General features: G+C 40.8%; 1 protein-coding gene across 2 annotated transcripts in view; it reads right to left on the minus strand.

The window, feature by feature from the left end:
* The window catches only part of FAM184B (family with sequence similarity 184 member B), a 152,316-nt gene that overhangs the window by 42,967 nt on the left and 91,659 nt on the right, over nucleotides 1–17,690 (minus strand). For both annotated transcript variants that reach the window (NM_015688.2, XM_047450066.1), the window contains exon 7: nucleotides 16,152–16,259. In NM_015688.2, coding sequence (NP_056503.1) covers nucleotides 16,152–16,259 — 108 coding nt within the window. The remainder of the gene's footprint in view (nucleotides 1–16,151; nucleotides 16,260–17,690) is intronic.

A 17,690-nucleotide genomic window follows, 5' to 3' on the forward strand; every position in this document is an offset into this window, starting at 1 on the left:
CTAAGAATACTATACCTGGGAAAACCCTCCTTCAAAAATAAAAGAAAGTTTGACTTCCTCTTGACTGATTTGGATGCCCTTTATTTCTTTCTCTTATCTGATTGCTCTGGTTAGGACTTCTAGTACTACGTTGATGAAGAGTGATGATAGTGGGCTTTCTTGTCTTGTTCTAGTTCTCAGAGGGAATACTTTCAACTTTTTCCCATTCTACTGAATTTTTTCCATTCAGTAGAATGTGGGTTTGTCATAGATGGCTTTTATCGCATTGAGGTATGTCCTTTGTATACCAATTTTGCTGAGAGTTTTAATCATAAAGGGATGCTGGATTTTATCAAATGTTTTTTCTGTATCTATTGAGATGATCATGTGATTTTTGGTTTTAATTCTGTTTATGTGGTGTATCACATTTATTTACTTGCATAGGTTAAACCATCCCTGCACCCCTGGTATGAAACCCACTTGATCATGGCGAATCATCTTTTTGATATGTTGTTGGATTTGGTTAACTAGTATTTTGTTAAGGATTTTTAGCATCTATGTTCAACAAAGATATTGGTCTTTAGTTTTCTTTTTTTGTTATGTCCTTTCCTGGTTTTGGCATTAGGGTGATACTGCCTTCATAGAATGATTTAGGGAGGGCTCCCTCTTCCTCTATCTTGCAGCATAGTGTCAATAGGGTTGGTACCAATAAGGAACAGTCAGCAGAGTAAACAGACAACCCACAGAATGGGAGAAAATCTTCACAATCTATACATCTGACAAAGGACTAATATTCAGAATCTATAATGAACTCGAACAAATTAGCAAGAAAAAAACAAACAATCCCACCAAAAAGTGGGCTAAGGACATGAATAGACAATTCTCAAAAGAAGATATACAAGTGGCCAACAAACCTATGAAAAAAAGCTCAAAATCACTAATTATCAGGGAAATGCTAATCAAAACCACAACGTGATACCACCTTATTCCTGCAAGAATGGCCATTAAAAAAATAGATATTGGTATAGATGCAATGAACAGGGAACACTTCTACCCTGCTGGTGGGAATGTAAACTAGTACAACCATTATGGAAAACAGTGTGGAGATTCCTTAAGGAACTAAAACTAGGAACTACCGTTTGATCCAGCAATCCCACTACTGGGTATCTACCCTGAGGAAAAGAAGTCATTATATGAAAAGGGTACTTGCACAGGCATGTTTATAGCAGCACAGTTCGCAATCACAAAAATGTGGAACCAACCCAAATGCTCATCAATCAACGAGCAGATAAAGAAACTGTGGTATATATATACAATGGAATATTACTCAGCCATAGAAAGGATGAATTAATGGCATTCACAGTGACCTGGATGAGATTGGAGATATTATTCTAAGTGAAATAACTCAGGAATTGGAAAACCAAACATCATATGTTCTCATTCATAAGTGGGAGCTAAGTTATGATGATGCAAAGGCATAAGAAGGACACAATGGACTTTGGAGATTCAGGAGGAAAGGTTGGGAAGGGGGTAAGGGATAAAAGACTACAAACTGAGTGCAGTGTATATTGCTCAGGTGATCGGTGTACCAAATCTCATAAATCACTGCTAAAGAACTTACTCATGTAACCAAACACCACCTGTTCACCAATAACCTATGGAAATAAAAAAAAATTTAAAACAACAACAACAAACAAAAATAAATGAAAGATTTTCCCAGACAAACAAAAGTGGAGGGAGTTCTTCATCACTAGACCTGCCTTACAAGAAATGCTAAAGGAATTTCTTCAAGTTGAAATGAAAGGATGCTAAACAGCAACAGGGTAGCCTAAAAGTATGAAACTCATTAGAAAAGGTAAATATATAGGCAAATATAGAACTAAATTACTGTAATAGTAGTGTGCAAATCACTTTTAATTCTAGCATAAAAGTTAAAAGACAAAAGTATTAATAATTACAAGCATACCTCAGAGATATTGTAGGTTCAGTTCCAGACTACCACAATAAAGCAAATATTGTGATAAAGCAAAGACACACAACTTTTTTTGTTTCCCTATACACATAAAAGTTATGTTTACACTATACTATAGTTTATTAAGTGTGCAATAATCTTATGTCTAAAAATACATACCTAAATTTAAAAATACTATTTTTCTAAAAAATGTTAACAATCACCTGAGCCTTCAGTGTATTGTAATCTTTTTGCTGTGAAAGGTCTTGCTCAATGTTGATGGCTGCTGACTGATCAGAATGGTCATTGCTGAAGGCTGGGGCAGCTGTGGCAATTTCTCAAAATAAGATAACAATGAAGTTTGCCACATCGCTTGACTCTGTCTTTCACAAGAGATTTCTCTGTAGCATACGATACTGTTTGATACCATTTTGCTCACAGTAGAACGTCTTTAAAAATTGGAGGCAATCCTCTCAAACTGTCACTGATCTATTAACTAAGTTCATGTAATATTCTAAATCCTTTCTTGTTATTTTAACAATGCTCACAGAAGTCTCATCAGGAGTAAATTTCAACTGAAGAGACCACTTTCTTTGATCATTTCTAAGAAGCAACTCCTCATCCATTGAAGTTCTATCATGAGATTGCAGCAATTCAGTCACATCATCAGGCTTTACATTTCATTCTAGTTCTCTGTCTCTACATAGTTACTTCCTCATCTGAAATCTTGAACCCCTCCAAGTCATCCATGAGGGTTGGAATCAATTTCTTTCAAACTCTTATTGTTGTTTTTTATCTCCTCCCATAAATCATGAATCATGAATATTCTTAATGGTTTCTAGAATGGTGAATGCTTTCCAGAAGGTTTTCAATGGGCTTTGCCCAGATCCATCAGGAGAACCACTATCTATGGCAGCTATAACCTTATGAAATGAAATGTATTTCTTTTCTTTTCACCCTTATTGTGCCAAGAAATCTACTTCCTAAATAATAAGACTTCAAAGGAGAAATTATTCCTTGATCTATGAGCTACAGAATGAGTATTGTGTCAGCAGGCATGAAAACAACATTACTCTCCTTGTACCTCTTCATCAGTGCTCTTGGGTGACCAGGTGGTCAGTAAGCAATAATATTTTAAAAGGAATCTCTTTTTTCTGAGCAGTAAGTCTCAACACTGGGCTTGAAAAAACAGATGTGCTATCATACAGGCTTTATTGCTCTACTTATAAAGCACAAGTAGAGTAGACTTCACACAATTCTTAAGGCCTCTAGAAATTTTGAAATGATAAATGGTCATTGGCTTTAACTTAAAGTCACTAGCTTTATTATCTCCTAACGAGAGAGTCAGCCTGTCCTTTGAAGCGTTGGAGCCAGGCATTGACTTTTACTCTCTAGCTGTGAAAGTCCTAGATGGCATCTTCTAATATAAGGCTGTTTTGTCTACATTGAAAATCTGTTGTTTAAGTTAGCCGTTTTCATCAATGATCTTAGCTAGATCTTCTGGATAACTTGCTGCAGCTTCTCCATCAGCGCTTGCTGCTTGTTATGTTATAGAGATGGCTTGTTTCCTTAAACCTCATGAAACAACCTCTGCTAGCTTCCAACTTTTCTTCTGCAGCTTCCTTGACTCTCTCTGGCTTCATAGAATTGAAGAGAATTAGGGCCTGGCTCTGGATTAGGCTTTAGGTTAAGGGAATGTTGTGGCTGGTTTGATCTTCTATCTAGACAACTAAAACTTTCTCCATATCAGCAGTAGGTTTGTTTTGCTTTCTTATTACTCATGTGTCACTGGAGTAGCACTATTCATTTCTTTCAATAACTTTTCCTTTGCATTCACAACTTGGCTAACTGTTCAGCACAAGATGCCTAGCTTAGGCCTGTCTCAAAGTTTTTGACATGCCTTCCTTGCTACGCTTAATCATTTCTAGTTTTTGATTTAACATGAGATATGCAACTCTTCTTTTCACATGAACACTTAGAGGCCATTCTAGTATTGTTAATTGGCCTAACTGCAATATTGTTGTGTTTCAGCGAATAGGGAGGTCCAAGGATAGAGAGGGAAAGACGGGAACAGCTGGTTCTGGAACACAACCAGAACACATACAACATTTATTAAGTTCACCATCTTCTACGGGCATGGTTTGTGGTGCCCCAAAACAATTACAATAGCAACATGAAAGATCACTGATCACAGATCACCTTATCAGATATAATAAGAATAACAAATTTTGAAATATTGTGAGAATTACCAAAATGTGACACAGAGACACGAAGTGTATTTTTTAATTAAGGTACACATATTTTTATAGATAATGCTATTACACACTTAATAGACTGTAGTATAGTGTAAACATAACTTTTACATGTATTGGGAAACCAATAAATTTGTGTGACTTGCTTTATTCAATATTTACTTTATTGTGGTGGTCTAGAACTGAATTTGCAGTATCTCCGAGGTATGCCTTCATAATGGAGCTGAAAAATTCCTATTGCCTAATGATGACATAGCCATTGTAAAGATGTAGTGTTAAACATTATCTTTTCTATGTTTAGCTACTTTAGGATACATAAATATTTACCCTTGTGTTACAACTGCCCATATATTTTGTACAGTACAGTAATATGCTGTACAGGCTTGTAGCCTAACAGCAAAAAGCTATAGCATATAGCCAAGGTGTATAGTGGGCTACACAATCTAGGTTTGTGTAAGTACACTCTATAATGTTCTCACAATGACAAAATCACCTAACAACCCATTTCTCAGAATGTATCATCGTCATTAAGTGACACACAACTGTATATCACAATTGAACTTGACCGTGGGGATCAATAAATAGTTGGCTGAATGAGTACTTTTTTTTTAGATAAGGTCTGTGGCTCTGTTGCCCAGGCTGGAGTACAGTGGCACAATCTCAGCTAACTGCAACCTCTGCCTCCTGGGCTCAAGCTATCTTCCCACCTCAGCCTCCCAAGTAGCTGGGACTACAGGTACACACCACCACGCCCTTCTAATTTTTGTATTTTTTGTAGAGATGGGGTTTTGCCGTGTTGCCCAGGCTAGTCTCAAACTCCTGACCTCAAGTGATCTGCCCACATTGACCTCCCAAAGTGTTAGGATTACAGGCGTAAGCCACTGCACCCAGCCTGAATGAGCTCTTTCAAGCCCAGCAATACTTGTTTCAATTGCTATTATGAACACCTTTACATGCATAAACTAGAAAACCTAGAGGAGAAGGATAAATTCCTGGAAATATACAACTCTTCTAGATTAAACCAGGAAGAAATAGAAACTCTGAACAGGCCAATAACAAGCAGCAAGACTGAAATGGTAAAAAAATTGCCAAAAAAAGTCAAGGACAGATGGATTCACAGCTGAATTCTATCAGACATTCAAAGAAGAATCATATTAATCCTATTGACACTAATCTACAAGATAGAGAAAGAGGGAACCCTCCATAAATCATTCTATGAAGCCAATATCACCCTAATACCAAAATCAGGAAAGGACATAACAAAAAAAGGAAACTACAAACCAATATCCCTAATGAACATAGATGCAAAAATCCTTAACAAAATACTAGCTAACGAAATCCAACAGCATATCAAAAAAATAATCCACCATGATCAAGTGGGTTTCATACCAGGGATGCGGGGATGGTTTAACATATGCAAGTCAATAAATGTGATATACCACATAAACAATTAAAACAAAAAAATCACATGATCATCTCAATAGATGCAGAAAAAGCATCTGACAAAATCCAGCATCCCTTTATGGTTAAAACCCTCAGCAAAATCGGTATAGAAGGAACATAACTTAATGTAATAAAAGCCATCTATGGCAAACTTGCAGCCCACATTCTACTGAACGGGGAAAAGTGGAAAGCATTCCCCCTAAGAACTGGAACAAAACAAGGTTGCCCACTCTCACCACTTCTATTCAACATAGTATTGGAAGTCCTAGCCAGAGCAATCAGACAAGAGAAAGAAATAAAGGGCATCCAAATCAGTAAAGAGGAAGTCAAACTATCACTGTTTGCTGATGATATGATCGTATACCTAGAAAACCCTAAAGACTCCTCCAAAAAGCTCCTAGAACTGATACATGAATTCAGCAAAGTTTCAGGATACAAAATTAATGTATACAAATCAGTAGCTCTTCTATACACCAACATCGACCAAGCTGGGAATCAAATCAAGAACTCAACCCCTTTTACAATAGCTGCAAAACAACCAAACAAAAAAAACCTTAGGAATATACCTAACCAAGGAGGTGAAAGACCACTACAAGGAAAACTATAAAACACTGCTGAAAAAAATCATAGGCAACACAAACAAATGGAAACACATCCCATAGTCAGGAATGGGTAGAATCAATATTGTGAAAATGATCATACTGCCAAAAGCAATCTGCAAATTCAATGCAATTCCCATCAAAATATTGCCATCATTCTTCCCAGAACTAGGAAAAAACAAACCTAAAATTCATATGGTAAAAAAAGGAACCCACACAGCCAAAGCAAGGCTAAGCAAAAAGAACAAATCTGGAGGCATCACATTACCTGACTTCAAACTATACTATAAGGCCATAGTCACTAAAACAGCATGGTACTGGTATAAAAACAGACACATAGGCCAATGGAACACAATAGAAAATCCAGAATTAAAGCCAAATACAGCCAACTGATCTTTGACAAAGCAAAAAACAAAAAACATAAAGTGGGGAAAGGACACCCTATTCAACAAATGGTGCTGGGATAATTGGCAAGCCACACGTAGAAGAATGAAACTGGATCCTAATCTCTCACCTTATACAAAAATCAACTCAAGATGGTTCAAAGACTTAAATCTAAGACCCAAAACCATAAAAATTCTAGAAGATAACATTGGGAAAACTCTTCTAGACATTGGCTTAGGCAAAGAGTTCATGACCAAGAAAACAAAAGCAAATGCAACAAAAACAAAGATAAATAGATTGGACTTCATTAAACTAAAAAGCTCTGCACAGCAAAAGAAACAATCAGCAGAGTAAACAGACAACCTACAGAGTGGGATAAAATATTTGCAATCTATATATCTGAGAAAGGACTAATATCCAGAATCTATAAATAACTCACATCAGCAAGATAAAACAATCCCATCAAAAAGTGGGCTAAGGACATGAATAGACAATTCTCAAAAGAAGATATACAAATGGTAAACAAACATATGAAAAAATGCTCAACATCACTAATGATCACGGAAATGCAAATCAAAACCACCCTGTGATACCACCTTACTCTGCAGGAATGGCCATAGTCACAAAATAAAAAAGAACACATGTTGACATGGATGTCGTGAAAAGAGAACATTTTTACAGTGCTGGTGAAAATGTAAACTAGTATAACCACTATGAAAAACAGTATGTAAAGTTCTTTAAGGAATCTCCATATTGTTTTCTATATAGAACTACCCCCAATCCCACTACTGGGTATCTACCCTGAGGAAAATAAGTCATTATACAAAAAAGATACTTGCACACGCATGTTTATAGCAACAAAATTTGCAACTGCAAAAATATGGAACCAGCCCACATGCCCATCAGTCAATGAGTGGTTAAAAAAAAATTGTGATATATACATACCATGGAATACTACTCAGCCATAAAAAGGAAGAAAATAATGGCATTTGCAGCAACTTGGATGGAATTGGAGACCATTATTCTAAGTGAAGTAACTCAGGAATGGAAAACCAAACATGGTATGTTCCCACTTATAAGTGGGGGCTAAGCTATGAGGATGCAAAAGCATAAGAATGATACAGTGGACTTTGGGGACTTGGGGCAAAGGGTGAGAAGGGGGTGAGGGGTAAAAGACTGCACACTGGGTACAGTGTACACTGCACAGGTGATGGGTGCACCAACATCTCAGAAATCAGCACTAAAGAACTTATTCAAGCATATAAGGTAACACATATGTTAATTAGCTATATTGAGCCATTCCACAATGTATAGATATTTCAAAATATGTCACACATGATAAATTATAGTTTTTGATGTCATTAAAAATTATATTTAAGTTTTGTTATTTTGAAAGCTTTTTCACAGATCTTTTTCAGTTTTGTTTGTTTTTGAGCCTGTCTTGTACCTGGTTGCACTAAATATATAATAGTTCTCTCTTGTGAAAACCTTAAAAGCCTAGATTTGAACACATGTTCAATGATAATGATGATATAACAGAAAAAAGAACTTATTTCATGTAACCAGACACCACCTGTTCCCCAAAACCCTACTGAAATAAACAAAACAAAACAAAAACATTGTCCATGTCTCTGAACTCTAAATAAAACAGACTCAGAACATGGCTTCTGAGAATATCCCTGAGCCACTCCTGGTGTATCCTGAGTTGTTCAACCCAATTCCTACTCTTGGGTTTTTCCCATCAGGCGTTTTTCTCAGATTCAGTCCAGTGCTCTCTCAGTGCTAAAGTGGCCTGGGTATGAATAGTGTGCACGGAAAAATAAATAGATCTGCTTCTCCTTTCCAAACCATCTACTGCAAATGCTTCCTCCCACTTCCTCCCAGGCAAATGGCTGGTTATTTTAAATCTGTGTTCACATTTAGGTCCTCATCTTTCATCTTCCAGTTATTTAACCTTTTCTGGATTATTTCTATTTTAAAGAAACACCCACGCCCAGGAAATCTCCTAGAAGGGAATATTCAAAGTCATTCTCAAGTTCATTTGACAATCTTTCAAAAGTAGCATTATGTACATCTTAAAATAGAACACCGAACGTAATGGAGTTTTGCTGAAATGATTACAGGGGACTGTAATAGATACTATAAAGTCAACTTACATTGACAGAATCTTTAACAGTTCTGAAAAGTGACTTCATATGCTTTCTCCTGTTCATTACCACAAGTCTCTGGGGGTATGAAGTGCAGGGATTATTGCCACTGTTTTACTAACAAGAAGTAGTGCAGCATTGCAGCTTACAGCACAGGCCCTGGTACCACCCTTTGGGCCTTGGTTTCTCTGTAAGAGTCTCATAGGGTGGTTTGTGGACTGTGTGAAGTCCTATGGGTTTGCCATTATGAGTAATGAAGAAACTGATCTCAGGGATGGTTTCTGACCTGTCTGAGGCTCCTAAGGAGGTCTTGGGCAGAGCTGGGTGGAACCCATGTCCTAAGCCTTAGGCAGGTGGCCCTGCCCTACACTGTCTTCCCAGGCTCTACTGCATCTCAGCCAATGCCCAGAACCTCTCCATGGAGTGAAGGGCAGCCTGCCTTGTTCCATGTCAGGTGGAACCAGACCCTTCAATTCACACCAACCAAGGGTGCTGGCTCCCAATTGGCCTGAGGGACACTCAGGATGTCACAGTTGTTTAAGAGCCTAGTGGTTATCTGCCTGCCAACGGCCAGGACAGGTGATGCCTCAAATTCCTATGGTCCTCCAAAATATGGCACGGGGTGACTCTTGCCCAGCAAACCACTCAGGGCCTCCAAGGAGTAGGGGACACTTTCAGGCCTGGAGAGCTTTGGAGTGTCCCTGGATCCTTCCCAAATGCCTCAGGAGCTTGCCTTGGGCTGCTTCCCCATGGCATCCCATTTCCTGGTGAAGTCATGTTCAGATTTCAGTGTCAAGCAGATGTCCGCAGATGTCATTCTTCTGGAATAGTTTCCTGGACTTCCCTGGACAGAAAGCTTCCTCTCCCATATGGGCTTGCCATTAATATATCTTCTTGCCATCATCATAGCAGTCATTGTAACAGGTTAGTATTTAAGGAAATAGTTATTTCTCCCATTTGAAATGTGAGCCCTCCAAGGATCAAGATTGGGCCTCATTCTCCTGGACATGCAGCCCTATGGCTTGTATAGTGATGGTACTCAGACATATTTATAGAGACGAGATGACTTAAATGGCAGTTACCACAAATGACTCCCTTTTCCTTCTGGAGAGGGCGTGGGCAGGTGTATATATGAAAACTTCCACCCTTCTCCACCGCCCGTTCAGTGTGGCCCAGGCACCAAAGGAATCTTCCGGAAAAAAATTTTCCCTCAGAATGATTATGACTAAAATGGCTTTCTGGAAACCAATTAGTAAAACTTTGAATCTACGAGAATCAAGGAGACTGGCAGGGAGAGACCAGGATTAAAGTCTTGGTGAGGTCCCAGCTAAGTTTAGTGGGGACAGAGTCACACCCACGTTTGGCAGCCTTCTCCCTGCATGTTCTGGGAGTGGAGTGGAAAGCCTGATCTCAGTTGACATTATTATTTTTATCTCTCTCTCTCTCTTTTAGATTTCTTTTTATTGTTTGTTTATTTATTTATTTATTTTTGAGACAGTCTCACTCTGTTCCCCAGGCTGGAGTACAGTGGCACAGTCTTGGCTCACTGCAACCTCTACCTCCCAGGTCCTAGCGGTTCTCGTGCCTCAGTCTCCCATGCAGCTGGGACTACAGGCGTGTGCCACCATGCCCAGCTAATTTTTGTATTTTCAGTAGAGACGAGGTTTTGCCATGTTGCTCAGGCTGGTCTTGAACTCCTGGCCTCAAGTGATCCACCTGCCTCCGTCTCTCGAAATGCTGGGATTATAAGCATGAGCCACTGCGCCTGGACTGTTTTTATTTCTCTTGACTCACTGAAGTGCTTTGCAGAACAGCTACTGGCCTAAACTGAAACCCCTGAGTCTTGAACAAACTTAAATTTTATAGCCCCAATCCAGCAGGAACATCACTGGGGAAGTTGTCATTTAATATCCTGTTCTGATGCCCCTATTGCCACCAGCAGATCTGCCACCAGATTGTTCAAGCCCCTGCCTAGGCCTCCCTGGCTTTACCTCTGCCCCTTGTACCATTCTGTGTGGTTGCAGGTATGGCAGTACTGAAGTATGCTGCTCACACCTCATCTAGACCTAGGCAGAGCTTCGGCTCACCAGGCTGGCACAGAGCTGGCTTGCCAAAACTGTTTGAACTACATTACATTTTTTTTCTAATTGGCAAAGTTCAGAAAGTTTTGTAACTTGCTGTGTTAGCAAAGCACACGTGTTGCTGGTGGGGGCACAGAGCAGAACAACCTCAGTGAGTGGCAAGTGATGGTATCTATTGAAGTTAAACACGCACACACCACTGCACCCGGCAAATTCCACGGGAGCAAGAGTTAGCACCTAGAGAGCATTTGCACACACTAGGTGCTGTTTCCAACACCATACAGATAGGAATTCATTTAGACCTCACAAAGACCCTCTGGAGTAGATACTATCATTATCCTTGGTGTATAAATGAGAATGGTGAAGCAAAGAGACATTAAATTATTTGTCCAAGATTATCCAGCCAGTAAGAACCCAGGTGTCTGGTTCAGGGGTGAGCTTGCTTAACTACTATACTATATTATATCCCTCTATGGTGCTATCCATTGAAGTATTATCTATAATAGAGAAATATTAAAACAATCTAAATGTCAATCATAAGGGAATGGTTAAATATAATATGGTTTTTCTGTACAAGGGAGAACTAGGTGGTTGGTTTGTTTTTAAAAAAATGACGCTAAAAGGGAAGTATACTGATATATTACAATCTCTAAGCTATAAAATTTAAGTTAAGAAAAGCAGAACTGGCCAGACGCAGTGGTTCATGTCTGTAATCCCAGCACTTTGGGAGGTGGAGGTGGGTGGATGGTTTGAGCCCAGGAGTTTGAGACCAGCCTGGACAGCATGATGAAGGCTCGTCTCTACAAAAAATTCAAAAATTAGCTGGGCATGGTCGTGGGCACCTGTAGTCCCAGCCACTCAGGAGTCTAGGCAGGAGGATTGCTTGAGCCCAGGAAATCGAGGATTGCAGTGAGCCAGGACTGCACTCCACCCTGGGTAGCAGAACAAGACCCAGTCTCAAGAATAATAATAATAATAGTAATTACTATTATATTATAGTATAAAATAATTATATATAAAATAATTATATATAAAATAATTATATAATAAAATATAATATAAAATAAAATAATTATATATAAAATAGTTATATAAAAAATAATAATATAATTACTATTATTATTATTATTATTCATGAGAGTATCCTATCATTTATAGAAAAAACTCCATAATTATGCCTGTATATACACTATACCTCTGAAAGGATACATAAGAAGAGAGAAAATAAAACACAACAAGTAGTTTTTCCTGGGATAGGGAACTCAGCAGGAAGAAGGAAGATGCTTTCCAATGTATACCTTTATATACCATTTGAGTTCTGTACCATATATGTGGATTGCTTATTTGAAAAGAGGCCCGCATTTGAAAGAACAAACAATATCTGCAAAATGCCTAATAGAAAACAGCACCAGATATTTAAGCTGTTACTAAATGTCCACATTGTTTTCCAGCTATTTGTTTATGCACACTTCTCCCTCTAGCATCCAGCTCAGAGGCTGGCACATGCCAGGTATTGCACACATGACTGCAGAATGAATGAATAACGTGCATATTGAGTTGAATCAAATGAAACTGATATTTGTCGAGGTTCTTGCTGCAACTCTATAGAGGAGGCATCTGCACTTCCCTCTAGAAACCGAACTCATTCACTATTCACAACAGCAAAGACATGAAATCAACCCAAATGCCCATCAATGATAGACTGAATAAAGAAAATGTGGTACATATACACCACCATGGAATACTATGCAGCCATAAAAAGGAATGAGATATGTCCTTTGCAGGGACATGGATGAAGCTGGAAGCCATTATCCTCAGCAAACTAACACACGAACAGAAAACCAAACACCATATGTTCTCACTTATAAGTGGGAGCTGAGCAATGAGAACACATGGATGCAGGGAGGGGGAAAAACACTCACTGGGGCCTGTTGAGGGAGGGTGTTGGGTTGAGGAGAGCATTAGGGAAAAGATCTAATACATGCTGGGCTTAAGACCTAAGTGATGGGTTGATAGGTACAGCAAACCACCATGGCACATGTTTACCTTTGTAACAAACCTATTCATCCTGCACATGTACCCTGGAACTTAAAAAAAAAAAAAAAAAAAAGAAACCGAACTCATTGAAAGACAACATTCTAGATTAAGAAGGCTGAGGAGGGCTGGGCAGGTTGGCTCACACCTGTAATCCCAGCACTTTGGGAGGCCGAGGCAGGCGGATCATGAGGTCAGGAGTTCGAGACTAGCCTGACCAATATGGTGAAACCTCATCTCTACTAAAAATACAAAAATTAGTCGGGCGTGGTGGTGTGCGCCTATAGTCCCAGCTACTTGGGAGGCTGAGGCAGAAGAATCGCTTGAACCCGGGAGGTGGAGTTTGCAGTGAGCCGAGATCATGCCATTGCACTCCAGCCTGGGTGACACTGGGTGACAAAGTGAGACTCTGTCTCAAAAAAAAAAAAAAAAAAAAAGACTGAGGAGTTTCCTGGTGAACCAACCCATGGTTCCCAACAGGCACTTGTATTCTGGACTTCTTCAGGACTTGCTTTTTTAGCTACAGAGGTGGTTCTCAACTGGGGATAATTTTGTCCCCTGGAGACATTTTTGGTTGGAAAGGTACTACTGGCATCTCGTGGGTAAAGGCCAAGGATGCTGCTATACATCCTGCAGCACACAGCATAGCTCCACACACCCCGCCAAAACAAAGAATTATCCAACCCCAGAGTCAAGTGCTGAAGTTGAGCTGTGGTGATAGCACCGGCTCATGGACATCGTGACCATGACTGGTAGACTCAGGTCATCAGCCCTGGAACATACCTAGAATTTCTATGTGTTTATTTCCCTAAAACACAGCCTGCTCTACAATCTTCCTGAACTGCATTTTTTTATTCAGTCTCCAGCTTACCACCTTATTTCAGATTTAATCTCATCAAGAAGGATACCAGCCAACTCCGGTCCATCTCCCTGCCACAGTCACTTTGAGGAGCTAAGAAATACTTGAGTATCTCAGGACAACCTTTCTGGGAAACCCCACAGGGCGCTGGTGAAAGGTGCAGCTGTCTCTGGGGCCAAAAGTTCTCTGGAATGCTAGCTCATGAGACTGATTCTTGAGAAACTGAGGGAGAATGAAAATGTCTGCACATCCCTCAGGCAGAAATCTTCTGAAAGGAGAGGGACAGCCTCAGATCAGGAAGGGGCAAGCCCTGTGGATGAGGGTGCCTCTGCTCCTTTAGGCTTGTCCTCCAGGCTTACATGGGGGCAACAGGGCTGCTCAAGGATTCTCCCTTAATCTGGGTGTCAGAGGAGGAAGGAGGAAATCCAGGGAGTCCTGGCTGCTCCCCTTAACCCAATGACAGCTGGAGTCTGTTTTATCTGGAAGGCATCCTGGGCATGTGCTGCTCTTATGGAGAGAGGAGGGGATCAGAGCCAGTAGTTCCATCCTGTTTTGGCTATTTACCTGCCTGTGACTGTGGGCAGGTCACCTGCCCTCACCTTCAGTTTTCTCTTCTATAACATGGGTGCCTTACAGGGTTGTTGGAAAATTCCAATGAAGCTGAGCATGCTGGCTCATGCCTGTAATCCCAGCCCTTTGGGAGGCCAAGAAAGGAGGATCACCTGAGGTCAGGAGTTCGAGACTAGCCTGGCTAACATGGTGAAACACTGTTTCTACAAAAAATAGAAAAATTAGCTGGGCCTGGTGGCATGCACATGAGGTCCCAGCTACTCGGGAGGCTGAGGTGGGAGGATCACTTAAGGCCAGGAGGTTGAGGCTGCGTGAGCTGTGACTGCACCACTGCACTGCAGCCTGGGCAACAGAGAAAGACCCTGTCTCAAAAACAAAAAAACTCCAGTGAAGTCAAAGATGAGAACAGTGCTCTATGACTGACCAGTTCACATACAAATGTTAATTATTATTTAAATCCACAGTCACTAGATTTTGGCTCATTTTTGCCCTGGTGAATATGTGGTTGAGTGGGGGTTATCTCAGAGGAGTATGCCATGGGGGCTGTTGGCAGGACCGGGGCCTGAGCCCTGGAAGATGGGGGTCATGGGAGAGAAACTGCAGTTCCTGAGGACACTCGTGTACACAGAAATGGGTAAACAAGAGACTGGTGAGACTGATGTGGTAAGATTCAGACTGACCCATGTAGTGTTTTCCCTCCTGGAGTTTGAAATGGCCTGAAAATTGTAGGCAACAATCAAATAAGTGAAATTGAAGGCCGTGAGTTTTTTATGGCTCTCTTGCTGCTGAAACAGGAATTAAGAGGGTTATTCAAGCCAGGGTACTCAAGCGCCCACTTCAGGGAGATTATTTATATTGCTGACATGGTACAACAAATGTTCACTGAGTGCCTATCTTGTGGGTTAGGCTGTGTCCCTAAGAAGATATGCTGAAGTCTTAAGCCCCTGTACCTATGAATGTGATCTTATTTGGAAATAGGATCTCTGCAGATGCAATTAGTTACGATGAGGTCATGCTGTAGTAGAGTGGGCCCTAAAGCCAGTGACTGGTGTCTTTATAAGAAGGCTGTGTGAAGGCACAAAGACTCAGAGACAAGGGGAAAGAGGCCGTGTGATGACAGAGGCAGAGATCGGAGTGACGTGTTTGCAAGGAAGACTTGGCCAAGGAACAAAAGGACTGCCCAGCAACCACCAGAGGCGAGGGGAGCCGCACAGACCAGGTTCTCACTCGCAGCCTCCAAAATAAGCCAACACCTTGATTTCAGACCTCTGGCCTCCAGAACCGTGAGAGAGTACATTTCCATGGCTGAAGCCACCAAGTACATGGTCATTCGTTATGGTGATCCTAGAGAACAATCCAACCCACCGTGAGCCAGACAGAGACAAACAGGAACCAGTTTCTACCCTCAAGCGGCGTCCCTGAAACGGCAGGTTCACGGACAAGGGCTGTTGTGAGAGTAAATGAGATCATGGCTGTGGAGGCAGACAGCCGGGGCAAGAGAGGGGCTTTTATGACTACTACTGGGGTTCGTGCTGGGCAGAATCAAAGGCCCTGCTCGAGTTGAGTGCGCCCTTTATCCTCCAGGCAGGCTGCTCTCAGAGAGAGAGCGGAGACTCATCTGACAGGCCTTATTCTCTTTCAAACCATGCAGATAATTAGTCAGACTTCTATTTCCTTCGTGGTTTCTGTGAATGGATTTTGTGGTGATTTTTTTTTTTTCCGGGCATTTTGGCAGTGTCGAGGAGAGATGTAAAAGAGCCCATTAACATCAGCATGTGTTACTGGGGACACTGAAAGGCTGAGACCGAGAAAAGAAATATCTTTAATTAAATCTGACAAAGCTGGAGGTTACCTGGGTCTCCAGAATGCTGCAGTGCTGGCGGCCTAATTCCTGGGGACTTTCCTCAGCTCCTGTGGGGCGTGTCTTATTTTGTTGGATAAATTCTTCCAGCCTTAAAACCTAAAACAGGAGATAAGAAACACCACACAATGAAACCAGGTTCTACCTCCTCGATACAGTCATTCATCCGGGAATCAATTCTCCTGGGTCAGTCTGTTCTGGGGAGAGTGCCCCATTAGACAAATTCTACACACACTTCTAGAAATGCCTTTTTTTTTTTTTTTTTTTTTTTTTTTCTGATCCAGGGTCTTGCTCTGTCACCCAGGCTGGAGTGCAGTGGCACAATCTTGGCTTACTGCAACCTCCACCTCCCGGGTTCAAGTGATTCTCCTGCCTCAGCCTCCTGAGTAGCTGGGACTACAGGTATGCACCACCACGCCCAGCTAATTTTTTGTATTTTTAGTAGAAACGGGGTTTCACCATGTTGCCCAGCCTGGTCTCAAACTCCTGACCTTAAGCGATCCGCCTGCCTCGGCCTCCAAAAGGGCTGGGATTATAGGCGTAAGCCACTGTGCCCGGCCTAGAAATGCCATTTCTAATGAGCTAGTTGCTTGGTCTTTCCAGAAGAAAATGTGCCCAGTAGGTTTATAGTATTCCACACTTTCCTTAAATTATTTACATAGATATTTCTATACTCGATCTGTAGGGTGGCTTTAATACCATTCCTGGAAGGCCACTCAATTTCTTTTGAAAACAAAACAAAAAAGTTAATTGGTAAAGAAAATGAACAACATTTAAGAATTATATAGGTAAAATGAGAAAAGAGTGGTTGGGGGTGCTCTAAAAGTGTAAGGCCTTAATTATGATGATGATTAACCAACTAATTGTAATATTTGAATTAAACAGACAGATTTCCCCTAGACTTTGAGGAGAATGAGGCCAAAAAACATAAAGGAAACTTTGACTTTCCTCAAAATTTTCTAGAAACCTTAATACTAGTTAGGCACCATGCTAGGTACAAGGAGGGATGGGGAAGGGACAGAGTGAGAGCAAGATAGTAAAATCATAAAGCTTGGTCCCTGCCTTTAAGGAGCTGTCATTTTATGAGGGAGATAGATAAATGTTTATAACCCCAATGACACTCAGTAGAGATATGTACAAAATAATAAGAGCACCTCCTTAATGGTCCATTTGCTCTGTGCCACCCAGGAATCTAAGCCTTTTTTAAAAAAATTATTTTCTTTTTTAAAAAATTGAGATGGGATCTTGCTATGTTGCCCAGGCTGGTCTCAAACTCCTAGGCTCAAGAGATCCTCCCACCTCAGCCTCCCAAAGTGCTGAGATTATAGGGATGAACCACTACACCCAGCCAGGAACCTCTACAGTATTAACTCTTTTAATCCTCACAACAGCCTTTATAAGGTAGGCACTACTGCACAGAATTTACAGCAATAGGGCCGGGTGTGGTGGCTTATGCCTGTAATCCCAGAACTTTGGGAGGCCGAGGTGGACAGATCACCTGAGGTCAGGAGTTTGAGACCTGTCTGGCCA

This window comes from Homo sapiens, chromosome 4, assembly GCF_000001405.40.
Source record: "Homo sapiens chromosome 4, GRCh38.p14 Primary Assembly".
NCBI classification, from domain to species: Eukaryota; Metazoa; Chordata; class Mammalia; order Primates; family Hominidae; genus Homo; species Homo sapiens.